This window comes from Homo sapiens, chromosome 14, assembly GCF_000001405.40.
Source record: "Homo sapiens chromosome 14, GRCh38.p14 Primary Assembly".
NCBI classification, from domain to species: domain Eukaryota; kingdom Metazoa; phylum Chordata; class Mammalia; order Primates; family Hominidae; genus Homo; species Homo sapiens.
In genome coordinates this window covers 93,419,840-93,439,474 of record NC_000014.9, presented here as the reverse complement: position 1 = coordinate 93,439,474, position 19,635 = coordinate 93,419,840, and the positions used below count along the sequence as shown (strand labels likewise).

Below are 19,635 nucleotides of genomic sequence, written 5' to 3'. Positions count from 1 at the left end.
ATATTAATAAAGTTAAGAGAGGAAGCAATATGGTCTCCATAGATGCAGAAAATAAACTTGACTCAACACCCATTTCGGTTTAAAAAAAAAACTTAACAAAATAAGAATTGACAGATACTGCCTAGTATATTACCTCAGCCCAAAATAATATCTTACTTAGAAATACAAGAGATTTTCCTACTAAAGTAAAATACAAGCCAAGAACACCCACTCTCTCTGCTATATTTCACACTGTATTGGAGATACTGACCAATGCAATCAGAAAACAAGAAAGCAATTAGAGGCATAAAAATTGAGTAGAAAAGAAAGGACAAAACTATTTTCTATTTGCAGAGCATACAATTGTATATCTTGAAAACCCAAAAGAATAGATGGAAAAATGACTACAAAAAGAAAATAATTTAGTAAAATAAAGTTATAAAATCAGCATACAAAAACTCAATAGCCTTCATGTATTCAAAATTTTAAAATAGAAGAAATGATACATCTCAATTATGATGGCAAAAAATGACGAAAGAAAATACTAAGCAAGAGCTCTATAAGAAATTCCAAAATCTATATGAGAAAAAAGCACCCCAAGAAAGGCACAGACTTGAACAAATGGAAAGACATACCATGTTCTTAGAAAGAGTAAGATTCAATATCAGAAAGATGTCAATTCTTCCTAAAGTAAGTTATTCTATAAAAGTAATATGATACTCACAAAAATACTATGAGGCTTTTTCCTGGAGTTATTCAACTTGTTTATAAAATTATTTTGGAAGAATGAAAAAGATCTAACGCAATGAGGGTTACGTGAAAAAAAAAAAAAGAACGTAAAAGAAAGCCAGTGAAACCTGCTTGAAACATTATTTTTTAAGAACAATGTTGAATGGGAGAGTGGAGATTCTTAGAAAATTCCCCACAAAAATTTTAGCCTCCAGTTAAAATAAAGAGTAGTAATGACCACAGGAGCAATTGTTGGCTCCCTGTGAATAAGTCATCCCAAGTTCATTTCAACTTCCTATTTTTTTAGAGATCTAGACAGGGCATCAAAGAAAAGTTGTAGAGAGTGTATACATCTCAGCAAAGTAGGATGCACTTGGAGAGTCAACTGTAAGCTCCTCTAGAGCCTAGCACAGTGCTTGATACATAGTAGACACCCAATAAATATTGGTTGAATAAGTGAATAGACAAGTTGATGAAATATATAGATTGAGTGGTACCATGACAGGATAGATTTGTATCTAGTGAAACTCACATTTAAAATATATTGATTAGAGGCTCAAAGCCAACTTGAAAAAAGTTATTTAATAGCATGACACTCACAGGGCTTTGGTGCTTCTTTCTTTTTGTCAACATTTTTATTTTGGATACTTCATATAGGAATGCATATTGTTTTGGTAGTTGACACAAAACCAATGGAAGAATAGCTAATATGTTGGATTACAGAATCAGACATAACAATGAAATAACATTAATAAGACAAAATGTAATAAGGTTTGTAGTGGTTTGAATTGTATCCCCCAAAAGATATGTTCAAGTCTTAATCCTGGTACTGTGAATGTGACCTCATTTGGAAATAGGGTCTTTGCAGATATAATCAAGTTAAGATAAGGTCATACTGGATTAAGGTGGGCTCTAAATCAAATGACGTGTGTTTATAAGAGGAAGGAGAGAGAGGTTTGGATACAGAGACACAGGCTGTGTAAAGATGGAGGCAGAGATTGGCGTGATGCTGCTACAACCAAGGAATGCCAAAGATTGCCAGAAACCCCCAGAAGCTAGGACACAAGGAAGGGAGATTTTTCCCTAGAGCCTGCAGAGAGAGCACAGCCCTGCCAACGCTTTGATTTCAGACTTCTGGCTTCCAGAACTGTAAGAGAATAATCTTCAGTTGTTTTACACCACCTAGTCTGTGCTAATTCATTACAGCAGCTCTAGAAAACTAATACAGCGTTAAACAAAGCCCTAAGACTTTCAGCTGCACAGATAGAGGGTAAGTGCTCACTGAAAATATTAGAATGATATGCAAAAGACTCGCATGACCCTTGCGCAAGGATGACACATAAATCTGTGAAAAGTTCTGTATAAAAAAATAAAAAGAAGAAATAGGAATTAAGGTACTTGAGGAACATTGAAGAAATAAAACCAAAGTATAATAACACATCTCTCAAAGCTGTTATGAAAATGAATTAAGCCAATATATACCAAAGTGCCTAGTACCTAGTAGGCACAAGCAATAAATATCTAAACTGTCTTTCCTGGAGAGCTTAAGATTCAAGCACATATAATCCTGACATGCTAAACTGTTTGTGAGTTATTATCTATTTCTACTTCTGAGGCAAGCTGATTTATTCTTAAAATAAAATAACATATACATAAATGTATATGTATATACACATGCATTTGTGCATGTATATATACATAAATATATATGTATACACACACACATATCCTTTTAATTTTATTCTATTGGAAGACCAAGTTCCTGAGACCAATGAAAATGAAAGATACCCTGAAATGCTGAACACCACTCCAGTTTTAATCCCACATCAAATATCAAATGAGACTCACATGATAAGCTGTATGCTGTTGGTAACATTGGTCTTGAAAAGTCCAGAAGGAGAGAAAAACAAGACACAAATAGAATAAATGGACTGAAAGAAGCTAAAAGTTCTAAATGAAATTGTTGAGCTTTTCACATTACAGAAAGCAAGAGTATTGATAAGAATATATTTTTTGCTTAATGCACTTTTTGATACAGGAAATATTTCATTTCTAAGCCAATATATATGTTTATTTATGCAGAGCTATCCATATATTTTCAAAATGTAAGAAACAAATGCATATGAATTTCCAACATAATACTACTGCAAAACAAGAATCCCAACTTAAAGCTTATTTATTGGTTGAGTAATCAATACATAAAACTTGAACAGCATCCAAGTAAAACTGGTCTGAAGAGGCCCTGACTTTAGATATATTGCCACTTTATCTTAAAAAAAAAACAGTTGGCTGTGTGCTAAAACTGCCTACCACTTTAAGAATCATAATTATTATTTTGAATATAGTAAAAGGAAAATTTAGCTAATCGGACAGAATCAAAACCACAATGAATGTTTAAGAAATGTGTAACATGTTGTATAAATACTGTAACATTTGATTTAGCAAATATATTTTAAGTACTTTTGACAACTGTAGTTTTATTTACCTGTAAATCCATTTGAAAAGCATGCATTTTGTGCAATGTTCACATTGCATAGAATGCAGAACTTCATATTAACAAAAATGTAAAATCTTCAAATTAATGATATCCAAACACTTGGTTATGTAATCCTTCCTTATAAAAGGCATTTCATCCACCCTCAGTCATTTTTACTTTTTCAAGAAATGATTTTTGTGCAAACACTATGCACTGGACAAGGGATTGCACACTGGAGACACAGAGAGGAACATAATACAATCTACACACAAAGTAAATTAAGGCAACTAACAAGAAACTAATTGAAATATAGTGTGACCACACAAATAGGGCATATAGGGAGAAAGTGGCAATCAGGCAAGGTTTCAAAGCTAAGTATTGAGCAGTAAGTAGGCATTAGACAGGCCAAGACGATGAGGGGGAAGAAAACATTTCAGGCAAAAAGAACATGATGCATTGGAGGAACTGAAAAAATAGTTCATTGTAACTGCATTGAAGAGGTAAAGCAGAGATTGTTGACGAGCTAGAATCAACAAGGCTTGGGAATGTGTTGAATAGTTATGGCAGAGAGTAAAAAGTTTAGGAAGACTGATTTTTTGACTTGGATAAATGAGCAAGGAAGTGTCATTTACCAAAATGACTGATCTAAAAAGAAGTACAAGGTTGGAACAAAGGACAATGAATTTGGGTGGTATGTATAAGATGCTTGGGTAGAGATAGAGGACTGTACTTCCAAAAACGTTTGTGGACTAGAAAATTGTATGTGGGAGGCATCCTCGTAGATGATACCATGCAAGTGAATGTGGTCAAGAGTCTGTGGGATTTTAAAAAAGAGTGAGAGAGAGGACTAATGACAGATTCCTGTGCGAAGCTAATTTTCAAAAGGCAGGAAGAAGACAGCCCTAAGAAAAAATCTGAGTGGGAACAGCCAGAAAAGAAAGAAGAAAAGGAGTTTAAATCAGGAATGCAGCAACTAGTGTCAAATGATACAGAGAAGTCATGTAAGACGAGAGCTAAAAGCTATTCTTCTTTTTGCAACCACAAAAATGGTTATAATAGGCACATTCTAATTTTTGCATAATATGAATAAAACTGTAATAGAGTTTCCTCTATAAGAAGTTTGCAATATTCTTGTGAAAAGATTTCTAAATGACTACAACTGCAGTGCTATTGAAAGGAGAAGTACTTTTCTATTTTAGTGATATTACCATATAATGTGCAAAAAATAAAGAAAACTATCTATTGATTTCTCCATGCATGGCCCTTACATATACATGGGAGAGGGGCAAGTTCAACTTCAAGTCATAGTGCTAATCAGCTACACTCTTAAAATTGTTTATCTTTGATGTAATCAAAAATATTTTTGGTTACTGGGAGGCTAGATCCAAACTTCACAATTATCTCCATTTTGGCAGCAAGCATAAGGTTTTATATTTGATGATGATGATGATGATAATAATTGTTAACATTTATTAAGTCCTCATTATGTGCCAGGATTCTCTGCTAAGCACTGTTCATGAATCACCTCATTTAATCTTCACAACAACTATAACTATCCCCATTTTATAGAGGATGTAGTCAGGGCTTAGAGACATTAACTTATCTAAGGTCACAGAGTTTACAGGGAGCAAAGCCAGGATTCAAACCCAGGCAGCAGTCTGATTCTAGAACCCCAACTCTGAATGTCTGCTGTTACCAAAAGCAGAGCTTCTTTTGAAAGAGCATACCCAAGGTGATCCCGATTGGTCAATTTTGATTCTTAGAAGACAGAAAAAGTTTGGGGTGGAGGGAGTGGGACTCCTCTTTAGAATTCCAAATAAATTTCATTTTTATCATTCCAAATTCTATATCAGCTATGCAAACATTTTCACTACAGTGAACTTTGTAAGAAAAAGAAGCATTTGGAGAAAAAAAAAATTTAACTCTTCTGCAATCACCTGAGAAAGTGCTAGGAAGCTTTCACCTCCTGTTTTGAGGCTCTGCAGATAGCACAGGAAACAGATTGAATATTTTTTAAAGGCTCCAAAAACTAGCTGCTGCTGCTTCTTTTTTTTCTTTTCTTTTTTTTTTTCTTTTTGAGACGGAGTTTTGCTCTGGTTTCCCAGGCTGGAGTGCAATGGCACAATCTCTACTCATAGCAATCTCCGCCTCCCAGGTTCAGGTGATTCTCCTGCCTCAGCCTCCTGAGTAGCTGGGATTACAGACATGCACCACCATGCCAGGCTAATTTTGTATTTTTAGTAGAGATGGGGTTTCTCCATGTTGGTCAGGCTGGTCTCGAACTCCCGACCCCAGGTGATCCACCTGCCTCGGCCTCCCAAAGTGCTGGGATTACAGGCGTGAGCCACTGCGCCCGGCCACTAGCTTCTCCTTCATCACTATTACTTATCTCACAAAAGAAAATGCCACTACATAAAACAGAAATCATTTTTCATATCTCTGTGATACATTACATTTCAAAGGTAAATCGAGTAAGCTGGTTTGGGTTGAAATGCAAGTACTTTCTCTTGCTGGTCCAACAAAACTATGTCTACTTGTCAAACCAGTGAAACCTTTATCAACATCAAGAAGCTCCAAGAAGAAGAGTAATAGAAATAATATTTTGACATTATATTAAGCCTAATTCTCCCTCCTCAGTCCTTAGGAAAGTGGTAATGTGCATCCTGAATGCAGAGGAGAAACGAGCTCTCCCATTCTCTCCTTATCCAGTAGTCTTCACACCCAGTAGAAGAAAAAAAAAAATTCCCTGACCTTTCCTTCTCTTGCTCCTTACACGTAGCTAAACTTCTACCAAGTCCAAGGATAAAATGCTGCCAATCTGCGTTCTTTTTATAAAAAGTATTTGTCCTTCATGAACATCAACTATGCAGCCTATTGTGTTTTTGCTTTATTTTCAGGTACATAACATACACGAAAATGTCAATCCACTCATGTTAGTGCATATTAACAGAAAAAGAAAAGAGATTCCTTAATTACCTTCATTCTAAATACAGATATCTAAAAACATCCATAGCATCCTTAACCTTTCCACAGCCTACTCCCATTTACCTCCTTTGCCCTCCAAACCCTTAAGACTAAAGCAAAGATAGCTCCTACTACAATTCCTTACTTTAAAGATGGAAACTCTGAGGCACAAAACTATTAAGTTAATTGCCCCGTGTCTCACAATTAATCAGAAGGACATACAAAGCTCAAGTCCACATGTTCTAGCTCCAGATATGGTGTCCTTTTCATCCTCTACAGATGAAAAAAATCTGTTTCACTAACACGTCTAAAATAGCTACTTAAGTCCACTAATTGCTCTACAGAATCAAGTCCATAGATAGATTTTATTCATTGCCCAGGAAAGAGACAAGACAAAGCATCCAGTCCATTTCAAAATGTAACAAGGAAGAGAAAACACAGGAAGAGGACAGTAATACTCACTGGCTTTAGCCTGAAATTACTTACGTAATATGTAACTACACAATCAAATGACAGGTGGTGTTTTTTCCTTTAAAAACCATACTATAATAAAACCACTTGGCTTTATTATAATATCAGGATGTGATATTCTCAAGTGGGAGGTTCTACATGGACTCAAACTATGTTACCATTCCTCAAAACAGAATGCACCCAATTTTTTTCAAAAACCTCTGTAAAAGCAAAACTTAATTTTGAATGTAGATTTAACTTTCAGAAACATGCAAAAAAAATCACAAGAGAGCTTCCTAACTATTTAGAGGAGATGGACTATTTAAAAGTGGGCAATGCTTGTCATTATCATAGCCATCATTTATTGAGTACATTCTATGTGCTAGGCTCATTACTAAACCTTTTATATGTATTCTCTCATTCCCCACAACAACCCCATCAGCATGATTAGCCCAGGTTTACAGATGAGGAAATAAAGTTCAGAGAGGTCAATTATCTTGCCCAAGGTCAAACAGTAGCAAAACTAAGATTGAAACTCAGATCTTCCGGATTCCAAAAAAACATAAAGAAGTAAAAGCACTGGGTGGTAGGTGGGCATGCACAATTTCTAATGAACCATCAATCTGAGAATTCTATAAGCCTTCAGTTTATTTAATTTATCTGGTGAATAAATGACATACTGCATTTTATCATATATAAGATATTGCCCTCAAATAATGAGACTACTGTTTTGTGTGTCTCAAAAACCGGCTTTAGTAGCCATTCCAAAGAAGAATTACAAAGACTTTTAAGTAGTGACAGCATTATCCATATAACGTGTACTGCTTTGGAAGAAAGGAGTCAATCTAGGTGAATAAGTTCTGGTATATTGTTAAAAATTCAAACTTACTGCTTAATAAAAACGTCTTTTATTTACAATCTGAAGTTTAAGCTCCTGAATCCCTCAAGCCCTCAAGTGTACTCGGAAAAAGGCTTCACATTGATCAACCTACCAAGCACACACCGAAGGCCTACTAGTGCGCACTGCAATAAGACAGACTATGGGAACCATATTAGAAACTTACTCCATCCACAAGGAGTTAGCAGGTTGCTTCCAACCACGCACACAGTCAGTCATTACTGGGACAACCAAAATCCTCCGGTGCTATGGGCTGCCCTACAAAGGAAGCCTGCTCTTTGGAACAATAATTAGATCAATTAGGTCATTTTCCCAGAGCTCCTTTCACTTTCTTGTAAGCACCGCATGGTTGTGGTTGGTTTTGACATTGGTGTTGGCATTAGTGAGTTAATTTTCCTCTTGCCTGGCTCCCTGCTCCCTCCCCCTTCTCTCCCTTCTTGCCTCTTCCACCCGAAGTGGAAACTGCAGACTCAAACTCCCCTATGGCTCCAGCACCAAGAACTGGGCATGCTCAGAAGGCCAGGCAGGCTTTGGTTGCAACTGACAGTTCCCCGCCCCTGATTTGCCGCTACCCCCCTTCCCCCACTCCAACAAGAGATACTGAAATGTTTATCTGAAAGATACGAGGCCTCTTTTTCCCGAGAATGACCCCATTTTAATTTCATTTCGCAGGGTCTCTGAGTCTTGAGAAACCCCCGCTGGAGCCCGAGGAAGACCGTATTATTTTTCAGCACCGGGGACAGCGCCGCGCTGCCATTAACGTCCACCCTCCCCCACCTTCTCTCTCCGCCACCCCCCACCCGCCCCAACCTCAGCCCCCACCCCCGCACCAGCACAATGCCAAGGTCTCCCAGCAGCCGCAAACGCCGCAGCTGCAATAGCTCCCAGCCGAGGCCGGGCCGGAATGCCGGGCCGGCTGCTACTTACACTGCTCCGCTTTGGTGGACATGGTGCTGTCCAGTTGGAAAGGCTTTGCCCCAAAATCTGTGTCGTGTGAGCTCCCTCGCTCCGCCAGCGATGTTGCGAGGAAAAGAGTGCATACCCCCCACCCCCCACCCCCTCGCTTTCCCCCTCCCTTAGGCCCGTGTCGCTACCATTCGGACAAAACGCACATCAAATTGCAGAATTCGGTCCCGGAAGGTTAGGAAATCGCCCCCGGAGAAATGGGTGGGATTTAATAGGCGGCCAAAGGCTTCCTGTCCGTCCCCTCCTGGAGCTGCCCGCGTTGATGTGGGCGGGGAGACCGAAAGGAGAGAGCAGGCTGCGGCTCCTGGTGAAATGGGAAAATGGGCTCGACCGGGGGAGGAGTATTTCCATTCATAAGGCGCACGGAGGGGACGGGTGTTTCCCAGAGAAAAGCCTCTTAAAGCGCCGGAGTCCCCGACCATTTGGATCTCCCATTGGCGTTCTCCGGGCCTGTAAATCCTGCTCCCGGAGCAGCCCCCGGAGCCTCAGCAGGGTGACCAGAGAGGGACCCAGGTGCGTCCCACGCTTCGTCTCAACCTCGGGGAGGAAGGAGAGGGAGGCGGATCCGGGGCGGGCTGGAGCGCCGGGGCCGGAGGGCGCGAGGATGTTCCTGAGGACCGCGAGGAAGAAAATGCAGGAGGAACCCTCAGCATGGCTTCCCTGTGCGCTGCGGTCCCTGCCCTCGCCTCCCCTCTGCGATGGGCTCTCCTGCTGATGATTGGGGATGGGAGGTCCCACTGCCAGGGGGCTGTGACAAGACTTTAGAAGTTGGGGCTGAAGGAAGGAGGAGATGTCCACGGATGGTGAAGCTGGAAGGGCCACAGAAAAGGAAGATGAAAGACTGAAGACAGGAAGACCCCAGGTGTGCTCCCTTGCAGCCATCCCAGCTGGACAGGGACACATTAGGAAGCCCCTCGACTGGAAAACCGAAGGCAGCGGGAAAGGAAGGCAATAGACGAGGGCATCGTGCATATTAATAGGAAGATATCCAAAGAATCCACTACAGAATGGAGAGACACTTGGAGTCGGGAAGAACCAGATTCAAGACCCACTTTTACCACTTACTCACTCAAGGACCATCTTCTAATCTCCCTACACCTCCGGTTCTTTATCTGTAAAATGGGAACATTAAAACCTTGCCCTGTCACCTGAAGAGTTACTGGGCAGATCGAATGGATGCGCAAGTCCTTGTAAACTAAAAGTACGGCACAATCCCCAACCATTATGTCCATTCTTCATTCAAATAGTTTAATTTGTTAAAGCTGAGGGGCATGGTCATAGCAGGTTAATTTAGTAAAAGTTACAGGAACAAAACGGTAAGTGTTGACAATGACTTTTAATGCTGATAAATCAATGTTTTCCACCTCAGAGAATAAAAGATCCTATTTAGGGAAAGAATTTTAAATTCTGTGTAATATATCAAACTATTCAGGTGAAATCTTGGACAATTAAGAAAAATATTATGAACAAACATCAAGGAAAGATGCTTCTGAGTAGCAAATAAAAAAATCTACAAATAACAGGGAAACTGCCCATAATGATGCACACACAGCACTCAAGTTTCATGGTATTTGCAAAAATGTTCATAAAGGGTTAGTGAATTGGCTCTTTGGGTTGCATATGTGATTGGACTCTGACATCCTGCTGATTGGCAGGTTGCTCTGGCTAATCAGCTATCATTCCATGTCATTGTTCATTCCCAAAACCACATCCCAAAGAGAAGTTCCATTTATTAGTAAAAGATAAATGATTATGTGAAGCATGATGCCAAAGAGTTCGTTCTGAGTAAAAAGAAATTGGAATCATTCTAAAGAAAATATGAATATAATGAACATTCCTGAGAAGATGACAAACACTTTGTATGACTAAAAGAAAGCTCAATGGGTTATTCAGAAAATTCTTGGAAGCCTGAGGCTTTGATAAAGAAAACAGTAATTGGAAATTAACACACATGAAAAAGAGGTGTCTTGGATAATACAGAAACAAAGGACAAAGTATGTGTTGGAAACCTATTATCCCTTTATCTGCTTAACAATCTTTCATTTGTCATCAATTAACCCTCCCGTTACTGAGTTAAGGGAGAGTATAATGGTGTTAAGTCATGGACTGAGGAGTTAGACAGCCTGGGTTTGAATTCCAGCTTTGCCTCTCATGATCTGTGTAACCTGGTGCAAGTTACTTAACTTCTCCATGCCTCGACTGCCTTACCTGAAAAATGGTCATATCATAGTCACATTAAAGGTTGTCAGGAATAAATAAGTATATATATGAGAATCTAGAACAATGACACATATGAGTGATGGCTGCTATTAGCATTACTGCTGAAACTCCTCAAATGCACCCAATCCATTCAGGTTAGTTCTGATGCTTCGGAGCCTCCAAAGCCTGATAGCACCCATATAATTGAGACTCTAATCATCAACCTAGGCACTCACAGCTTGAGCCTTCTGACATGCCCATTAACTCACTAACCTGGGCCATATCCATTACTCAGTTTCACCATTCCGACATATGGCCTTACTACTTCAATGAACTCCCTCACCTTTCCTTCTGTCTCCACCTATCTCAATCCTTCCTGCTTAGTTTTCTTCTATTGCAGAGGTAGTGCCTCTTCTCATTGCCAGATGCAATGCCTTTTTTTCCAAACCTATGCCTCTAATTATAAACATTTCTACTTATTCTAGAATTTGCTATTTTAATTATCTTCTTTTTCCCAGCATTTTAAGTCTCATCTTTTCAATGGATTTTCCCATCCTGCTTGCAAACATGCATAAATTTTTCATCCTCAAAAAGCTGTGCCTATCATCTTACTGAATAAGTGGCCTCCATTTCTCCATTTCCTCACTACCCTACCTGCTATCAAATTGTGGCTGAAACAGGTTACTTCAATAGTCACTAATAATTTCCTAATAGTAAATTATAATTGCTTTATCTCTTGGTGACTAATGCCAGCATTTGAAATTTCTCCCTATTTCTTTTTGAAATTCCCTCTTCCCTTGACTTCTATAACATAATGCTCTTCAAAGTCTTCTCCAAACTTTTTGCCCATTCTATTGTTTAATGAAGTAATTCAAACATAGAAATATTTTAAAAATCATGAACACTAATGTTACCACTACCCAGTCTCATCAAATCTTAATATTTTGTCATGTTGCATTGTTTTACTTTTCAGAAAAAAACATTTTAGAGACATTAGAAGCCCCCATAAAAAATTATTCTAAATTTGTGGTTATGTCCTTATATTTTATATTATTTATTTATTTGTTCAGCAACTACTTATTGAGTGCCTATGTATGTCAAACACTGCTCTAGGAACTTGTTATAATGTAGCAAACAGAGAAGACAAAAAAAAAAATCTGCTTCTTAAAACTAATATTCTAGTGGAAAGACAAAAAATAAGTAAGTAAAACATAATATATTCAGTGCTGACAAGTACTAAAAAGAAAAATATTACACAAAGGGAAGGAGAAAGTTTGTATTGAAGGGTTTGAAATTTTGAATGAGATAAAATTTTAGATAGGGTAATTACATACACACCATATATGTCTATTTCCATAAGCAACATATATTATTTTACATGTTTTTTAATTTTCTATAATTAATACCACACTATACATATCTTTTTAAAACTTAACACTTTATGCTCAACATTCCATTTTGGTTTAATTATGTTTATTAAACACTATGTGTGAGGAACACCCCATACAATTAGTGATTAAAGACTCCAATAGCATACTCACAGCTTGATTGACCCAAAATGCCAAAATACCTAGTTAAAAGCAATTATAGCTGCTAGAAAGTGAAGGGAGAACTGTGAGAAAGAGAGAGCCACAGTAAAGGAGATATCACCTATTTACCTCTGCCCAAATATCTAGCTGATCTCTGAACCACACATGTGAAAGCCTGCATGCAAACAACAAAAACCCAACTAGGGATTCAAGAACTAAACTGATATTCAATAAACTGATAGTTTATAGTTTATATCCCATTAAGTTAGTTACCTGCTAAAAAAGTCAACACTCTTCAGAGGAAAATAACAGAATACAGAGTCTCCACAACACTAAAATCACAATGTCCAGGATACAATCCAAATTTACATGACACACAAAGAAACAAGGAAATGTGACCCACTTGACCAATGGTGAAGAAAAAAGACAATAGAAAATGAACCCAAGATGATCCAGATGTTATCATTAACAAAGATTTTAAATCATGTAAGTCTGCTCAGTGCAGTGAAAAAAAAATGCTTATAATGATTGTAAAGATGTCAGTAGAGAAATTGAGACTATATTTTTAAAAAACCATTGGAAATTTTAGAACTCAAAAGTACAATATGTGAAATAAAAAATTCACTAGATGATATTAATGGCAGGGTGTAGAAAATAGATGAAATATGAAGTAAGCTTAAAGATAAATCACTGTAAATTATCCAATCTGAAAAACAGATCGAAAAAAATAATTAGAGGAAAAGGAACATAGCCTGGGGCCTGTGAGACAATAACAAAAGTTATAACATATAATTATACTCACAGAAGAAGAGGATAAAAATACTAATAATATATTAATATATTATTTTAAAATATTTAAGAACAAATATTTAAGGAAATAATGGCTGAAAATTTTCCAAAATTTGGTGACAAAAAAAATTTACAGATATAAAAAGAAGTACAAACCCCCAAGCAGGAAAAATACCATGAAAGTCAAGCCTTAAGCACATCAGATTCAAAATGCTGAAAAACAAAGACAAGGGAAAACCTTGGAACCAACCAGAGAATGATATACAATGACACACATTACATACAGGGAACATCAATGCAAATTAACACTGACTTCCAATCAGAAACAATGGATATCAGAAGATAATAAACTAACATCTTTACCATACTAAAAAGAAAAAGAAAACTGTTAATGCAGTGGCATATTTGGCACACACAAAAAAGTCCTTCATAATGAAAATAAAATAAAAATATTTTCAGATGGAAGAGAACTGAGAGAATTTGCCACCAGCAGACTTGCACTATAGGAAATAGTAATGGAAGTTCTTCAGGCTGAAGGAAAATGATACCAGATGAAAATGCAGATTTTCTCCCAGTCTACAGCTTGTTTTTCACTTTGTTTATGGAGTCTTTTACTGAAGAGTTTTAAAATGTAAACATAGCCAAGTTTAACCAGCCTACCAATCTTTTTCTCTATAGTTTGTGCTTTCCTATGCCCAAGGTTGTAAACAGATTCTTATATTTCATTCTAAAAGTTTTAAAGTTTTACTTTTCACATTTAAGTGTTTGTTTCAACTTAAATTTATGTTTATGTTTATGTGTGAAGTGGGGTCTGCTTCTTCCCCTATGAATAAGTAGCATCTTACCCATTTATTAAACTCTTCCCCAAAAGGTTCTAATTCCATGCCAACTTGATCATAAATCAACTTTTTTATGTATATATGAGGCTATTTGCCAGATTTGTATTCTGGACCACAGGTATGTTTGTACTTGCCTGTTTAACCATACTGTTTTAATAATGATAGCTTTATAATAAGTCTTTATAAGGCAAGTCCTCCCACCAGTGCTTGTTCTTCAAATTTATCTTGGCTATATTTGACCATTTTGCCTACTGCATCCCCACCCAAATCTAATCTTGAATTGTAATTCCCAAAATCCCCATGTGTCATGGTATGGATCCAGTGGGAGGTAATTCAGTCATGGGGGCGGTTACTCCCATGCTGCTGTTCTTGTGATAGTGAGTGAGTTCTCACAAGATCTGATGGTTTTATAAGGGGCTTTTCCCCCTTTTGCTCAGCACTTCTCCTTCCTGTCACCATGTGATGAAGGATGTGTTTGCTTCCCCTTCCACCATGATTGTTAAGTTTCCTGAGGCCTCCCCAGCCATGTGGAGCTGTGAGTCAATTAAACCTCTTTCCTTTATAAATTACCCAGTCTCAGGCAGTCCTTTATAGCAGCATGAAAATGGACTAATACACCTGCCATGTGAATTTTTTTAGTTTCAATTTTTAATTTTTGAAGATACATAGTAAGTGTATATATTTATGGATGAGATGTTTTGATATAGGCATGCAATGTGTAATACGCACATCAGGGTAAATGGTGTATTCATCACCTCAAGCATTTCTCTTTTGTGTTATACGCAATCCAATTATATTCCTTGTTATTTTTAAATGTGCAATTAAATTATGTTTGACTACAGTCGCTCTACTGAGCTAGCAAATACTAGATCTTATTCATTATTTCTAACTATTTTTTGTACCCATTAACCCTCCCCCATTGCCCCTCCACCCCCACTATTCTTCCCTGACTCTGTTAACCATCCTTCTACTCTCTATCTCTATGAGTTCAATTGTTTTAATTTTTAGGTGCCACAAATAAATGAGAACATGTGAAGTTGTTCTTTCTGTGCCTGGCTATTTCACTTAGCATAATGACTTCTAGTTCCATCCATGTCATTGCAAATGGCAGGATCTCATTCTTTTTTATGGCTGAATAGTACTCTCTTGTGTATATGTACCACATTTTCTTTACATGTTTATCTGTTTATAGACACTTAGGTTGCTTTCAAGTCTGGCTATTGTGAACAGTGCTGCAATAAACATGAGAGTGCAGATCTCTCTTCAATGTAATGCTTTCCATTACTTTGGGTATATACCTAGAAGGAGGATTGCTGGATCTTAAGCTCTATTTTTAGGTTTTTGAGGAACCTCCAACTGTCCTCCATAGTGGTTATACTAATTTACATTTCCACCAAGAGTGTATGAGGGTTCCCTTTTCTCCACATCCTCTCCAGCATTTGTTTTTGCCTGACTTTTGAATAAAAGCCATTTTAACTGGGGTGAGATGATATCTCATTGTAGTTTTGATTTGCATTTATCTAATGATCAATGATGTAGAGCAACTTTTCATATGCCCGTTTGCCATTTGTATGACATTTTTTGAGAAATGTCTATTTAAATCTTTTGCCCACTTTTGAATTGGATTATTAGATTTTTTTCCTACAGAGTTGTTTGAACTCCTTATATATTCTCGTTATTAATCCCTTGTCAAATAGGTAGTTTGAAATATTTTCTCCCATTCTGTGGGTTAGCCCTTCACTATGTTGATTGTTTCTTTTGCTGTGCAGAAGCCTTTTAACTTGATGTGATCCCATTTGTCCATTTTTGCTTCAGTTGCCTGTGCCTGTGGAGTATTACTCAGGAAATCTTTGCCAGTTAAGTGTCCTAGAAATTTTCCCCAAAGTTTTCTTTTAGTAGTTTCATTGTTGGAAGTCTTAAATTTAAGTCTTTAATCCATTTTGATTTGATTTTTGTATATGGTGAGAAATAGGAGTCTAGTTTCATTCTTTCACATATGGACATCCAGTTTTCCAAGCACCATTTATTGAAGAGACTGTTCTTTCCCGAATATATGTTCTTGGTAGTTTTGTCAAAAATGAATTCACTGTAGATGTATGGATTTATCTCCAGGTTCTCTGTTCTGTTCCATTGGTCTATGTGTCTGTTTTTATGCCAGTACCATGCCATTTTGGTTACTATAGCTCTGTAGTGTAAGTTGAAGTCAGGTAATGTGATTTTTTCCAGTTTTGTTCCTTTTGCTTAAGATAGCTTTGGTTATTCTGGGTCTTTTGTGGTTCCACATAAATTTTATAATTGCTTTTTTCTATTTTTGTGAAGAATGTCATTGGTATTTTGATAGGGCTTGAATTGAATCTATAGATTGCTTTAGGTGGTATGGTCATTTTAACAATATTAATTCTTCCAGTACATGAACATGGAATATATTTCCTTCTTCAATTTCTTACATCAATGTTTTATAGTTTCAGTGTAGAGATCTTTCACTTCTTTGGTTAAGTTAATTTGTAGGTATTTTATCTTATATTGTAACTATTGTAAATGGCATTACTTTCTTGACTTCTTTTCTTTTTTTTTTTTTTTTTTTTTTTTTTTTTGAGACAGAGTCTCGCTCTGTCCCCCAGGCTGGAGTGCAGTGGTGCGATCTCAACTCACTGCAAGCTCCACCTCCCAGGTGCACGCCATTCTCCTGCCTCAACCTCCTGAGTAGCTGGGACTACAGGTGCCCACCATCACACCTGGCTAATTTTTTGTATTTTTTTTAGTAGAGACAGGGTTTCACCGTGTTAGCCAGGATGGTCTCAGTCTCCTGACCTCATGATCCACCTGTCTCGGCCTCCCAAAGTGCTGGGATTACAGGCATAAGCCACCAAGCCTGGCCTTGATTTCTTTTTAAGATTGTTTGCTGTTGGCATATAGAAACACTACTGATTTTTGTATGTTGATTTTATATCCAGCAACTTTACTGAATTTACTTATCCATTCATGTTTTTAATATAACATTGTTTATATCGAGGTATGTTCCTTCTGTAAACTAAAAATACAATTCTAAGGCCCCCCCAACCATCTGAATGAACCCCTCCTTTTGGCCAAGGGCATTTCAAAGTTAACCTGAAAAACTGGTTCAGAACGTGATGGGAATGGAGGGGTCAGACATGCCTCATTATGCCCTCCTTCCTTTTGGAATTCAGGAAAGGCCAACCAGCATTCACATCAACACAGACCTTAAGTCTGATAAGAAACACTTATAATCTATTATCTCTGAAGCCAGCTACCTGGAGGCTTCATCTGCATGATAAGCTTTGGTCTCCACAACCTCTTATCATTGTAAACAAGATATTCCTTTCTATTGATTCCCGGTCTTTAGATAATAACAACTCTTTCAATCAATTGCCAATCAGAAAATTTTTAAATCTTCCTACAACCTGGTAGCCTGTGCTTCAAGCTATCCCACCTTTCCAGACCAAACCAATGTAAATCTTACAAGTGTTTACTGATGTATTATGTCTCCCTAAAAGGTATAAAAGCAGGCCATACCATAACTACCTTGGGCCCATATCATCAGGACCTCCTGAGGGTGTGTCATGGGTGTGTTCTTAACCTTGGCAAAATAAACTTCCTAAATTGATTAAGACCTGTCTCAGATACTTTTGGGTTCACACTTCTATACCCAGTTTTATAAGAGTTTTTATCATGAAGAGGTGTTGAATTTTATCAAATGCTTTTTCAGCATGAATTGAAATGATCATATGGTTTTTATCCCTCATTCTGTTGATATGATGTCTCACATGATTGATTTGTGTGTATGTTGAACTAACATTGCATCCCTGGGATAAATCACATTTGGCCATGATAAATGTTCTTGTTTTCTTTTTTTTTTTTTAAGCTATCTCCTACATGAAGGATAATCTTTGTTTAAGATGTGTTGTTAAATTTGGTTTGCTAGTATTTTGTTGAGGATTTTTGCATCAATATTCATCAGTGATATTGGCCTATAGTGTCTTTTTTTCTTTTTGATGTTTCTTTGTCTGGTTTAGTATCAGGGTAATATTGGCCTCATAGGATGTATTTGGAAATATTATCCCCTCCTCTACTTTTCCAATATGTTTGAAGAGGACTGGTACTATTCTTTAAATGTCTGGCAGAATTCATCAGTGAAGCCATCAGGTCCCAGGCTTTTCTTTGCCTGGAGACTTTATTATGGCTTCAATCTCACTACTTGTTATTGGTCTGTTCAGGTTTTGGATTTATTCATGGTTCAATTTTAGTAGGTTGCATGTGTCTAGGAATTTATCCATTTCTTCTAGTGTTTCCAATTTATTGGCATATATTAATAGTTCCTCATAGTAGCCACTAAATGAGCCTTTGAATTTCTGCAGTATAAGTTGTAATGTCTCCATTTTCATCTCCTATTTTATTTATTTGAGTCTTCCCTCTTTTTTTCTTAGTCTGGCTATAGATTTATCAATTTTGTTTATCTTTTCAAAAAGCCAAATTTTTGTTTCATTGATTTTTATGTTGTTTTCTTCATATTAAATTCATTTATTTTTGCTTTGATCTTTATTATTTCTTTCTTCTAAAAATTTTGGGTTTGGTTTGATCTTGATTTTCTGGTTCTTTATGATGTATTATTAGGTTGTTTATTTGAAGCTTTCTTATTCCACAATGTAGGCACTTATAGCTGGGAACTTCCATCTTCATACTGCTTTTGCTATATCCCATAGGTTTTGGTATGTTGTGTTGCCATTGTCATTTGTTTCAAGAAAATTTTCCATTTCCTTCTTAACATCTTTATTGACTCACTGGTCATTTAGAAGTATATTGCTTAATTTCCACGTTTGTAGAGTTTCCAAAGTTCCTCTTGTTATTGATTTCTAGTTTTATTCCATTGTGTTCAGAGAAAGTGCTTGATATTATTTTAATTTTTTTGATGTTTTAAGACTTGTTTTGTGACCTAATATATGGTCTATCCATGAGAATTATCTATGTGCCAAGGAAAAGAATGTGTATTCTGCAGCTGTTGCATAAAATGTTCTGTAAATATCTACTAGTTCTGTTTGTTCTATAGTGCAGATTAAGTCCAGTGTTTCTTTGTTAATTTTCTGTCTGGAAGATCTGTCCAATGCTGAAAGTGGGGTGTTGAAGTCTTAAGCTATTATTGCATTGAGTTCTATTTCTCTCTTTAGCTCTAATAATATTTTCTTCATATATCTGGGTACTCCCCTATTGAGTACATATATATTTACTATATCCTCTTGCTGAATTGACCCCTTTATCATTATATACTGGCCTTCTTTGTCTCTTATAGTTTTTGTCTTGAAATCTATTTTGTTGGATATAAATATAGCCACTCCTGCTCTTTTTGGTTTCCATTGGCATGGAGTATTGTTTTCTATCCCTTTGTTTTCAGTCGATGTGTGTCTTTATAGGTAAAGTGTGTTTCTTGTAGACAACAGATCATTGGGTCTTTTTTTTTTTTTTATCTGTTCAGCCATTCCATGTCTTTTGATTGGAAAGTCTAGTTAATTTACATTCAATGTTATTATTGATAAGTAAGGACTTACTCCTACCATTTTGTTATTTGCTTTCTGGTTGTTTTGTGGTCTTCGCTTCTTTTCTTCATTCCTGTCTTCCTTTTAGGGAAGATAATTTTCTCTGGTGGTACGATTTACTTATTTTAGTTTTTAAGGGATGAATAATAGAGAGTGATTAGGTTATTTTATTTTATTTAGTTATTTTTAATTATTTTTTATTCTTTTATAAAGACAGGGTCTCACTATGTTGCCCAAGCTGGTCTGGAACTTCTGGCCTCAAGCAATC

At 36.9% G+C, this 19,635-nt stretch overlaps 1 protein-coding gene and 1 pseudogene across 9 annotated transcripts in view; one reads left to right on the top strand and one right to left on the bottom strand.

The window, feature by feature from the left end:
* The window catches only part of UNC79 (unc-79 subunit of NALCN channel complex), a 374,695-nt gene that overhangs the window by 268,402 nt on the left and 86,658 nt on the right, over positions 1-19,635 (bottom strand). For 6 of the 9 annotated variants that reach the window (NM_001395159.1, XM_047431624.1, NM_001346218.2 and 3 more), the window contains exon 1: positions 8,424-8,536. The exons of 2 other annotated variants lie outside the window; for them this stretch is intronic. In NM_001395159.1, coding sequence (NP_001382088.1) covers positions 8,424-8,445 — 22 coding nt within the window. In that variant the 5' untranslated portion in view covers positions 8,446-8,536. Of the gene's footprint in view, positions 1-8,423; positions 8,537-8,608; positions 8,748-19,635 lie in introns of those variants that run through there. One more of the 9 variants, XM_011537026.3, reaches the window with a different exon arrangement.
* On the top strand, positions 1,965-2,075 carry RNU6-1258P (RNA, U6 small nuclear 1258, pseudogene; annotated as a pseudogene).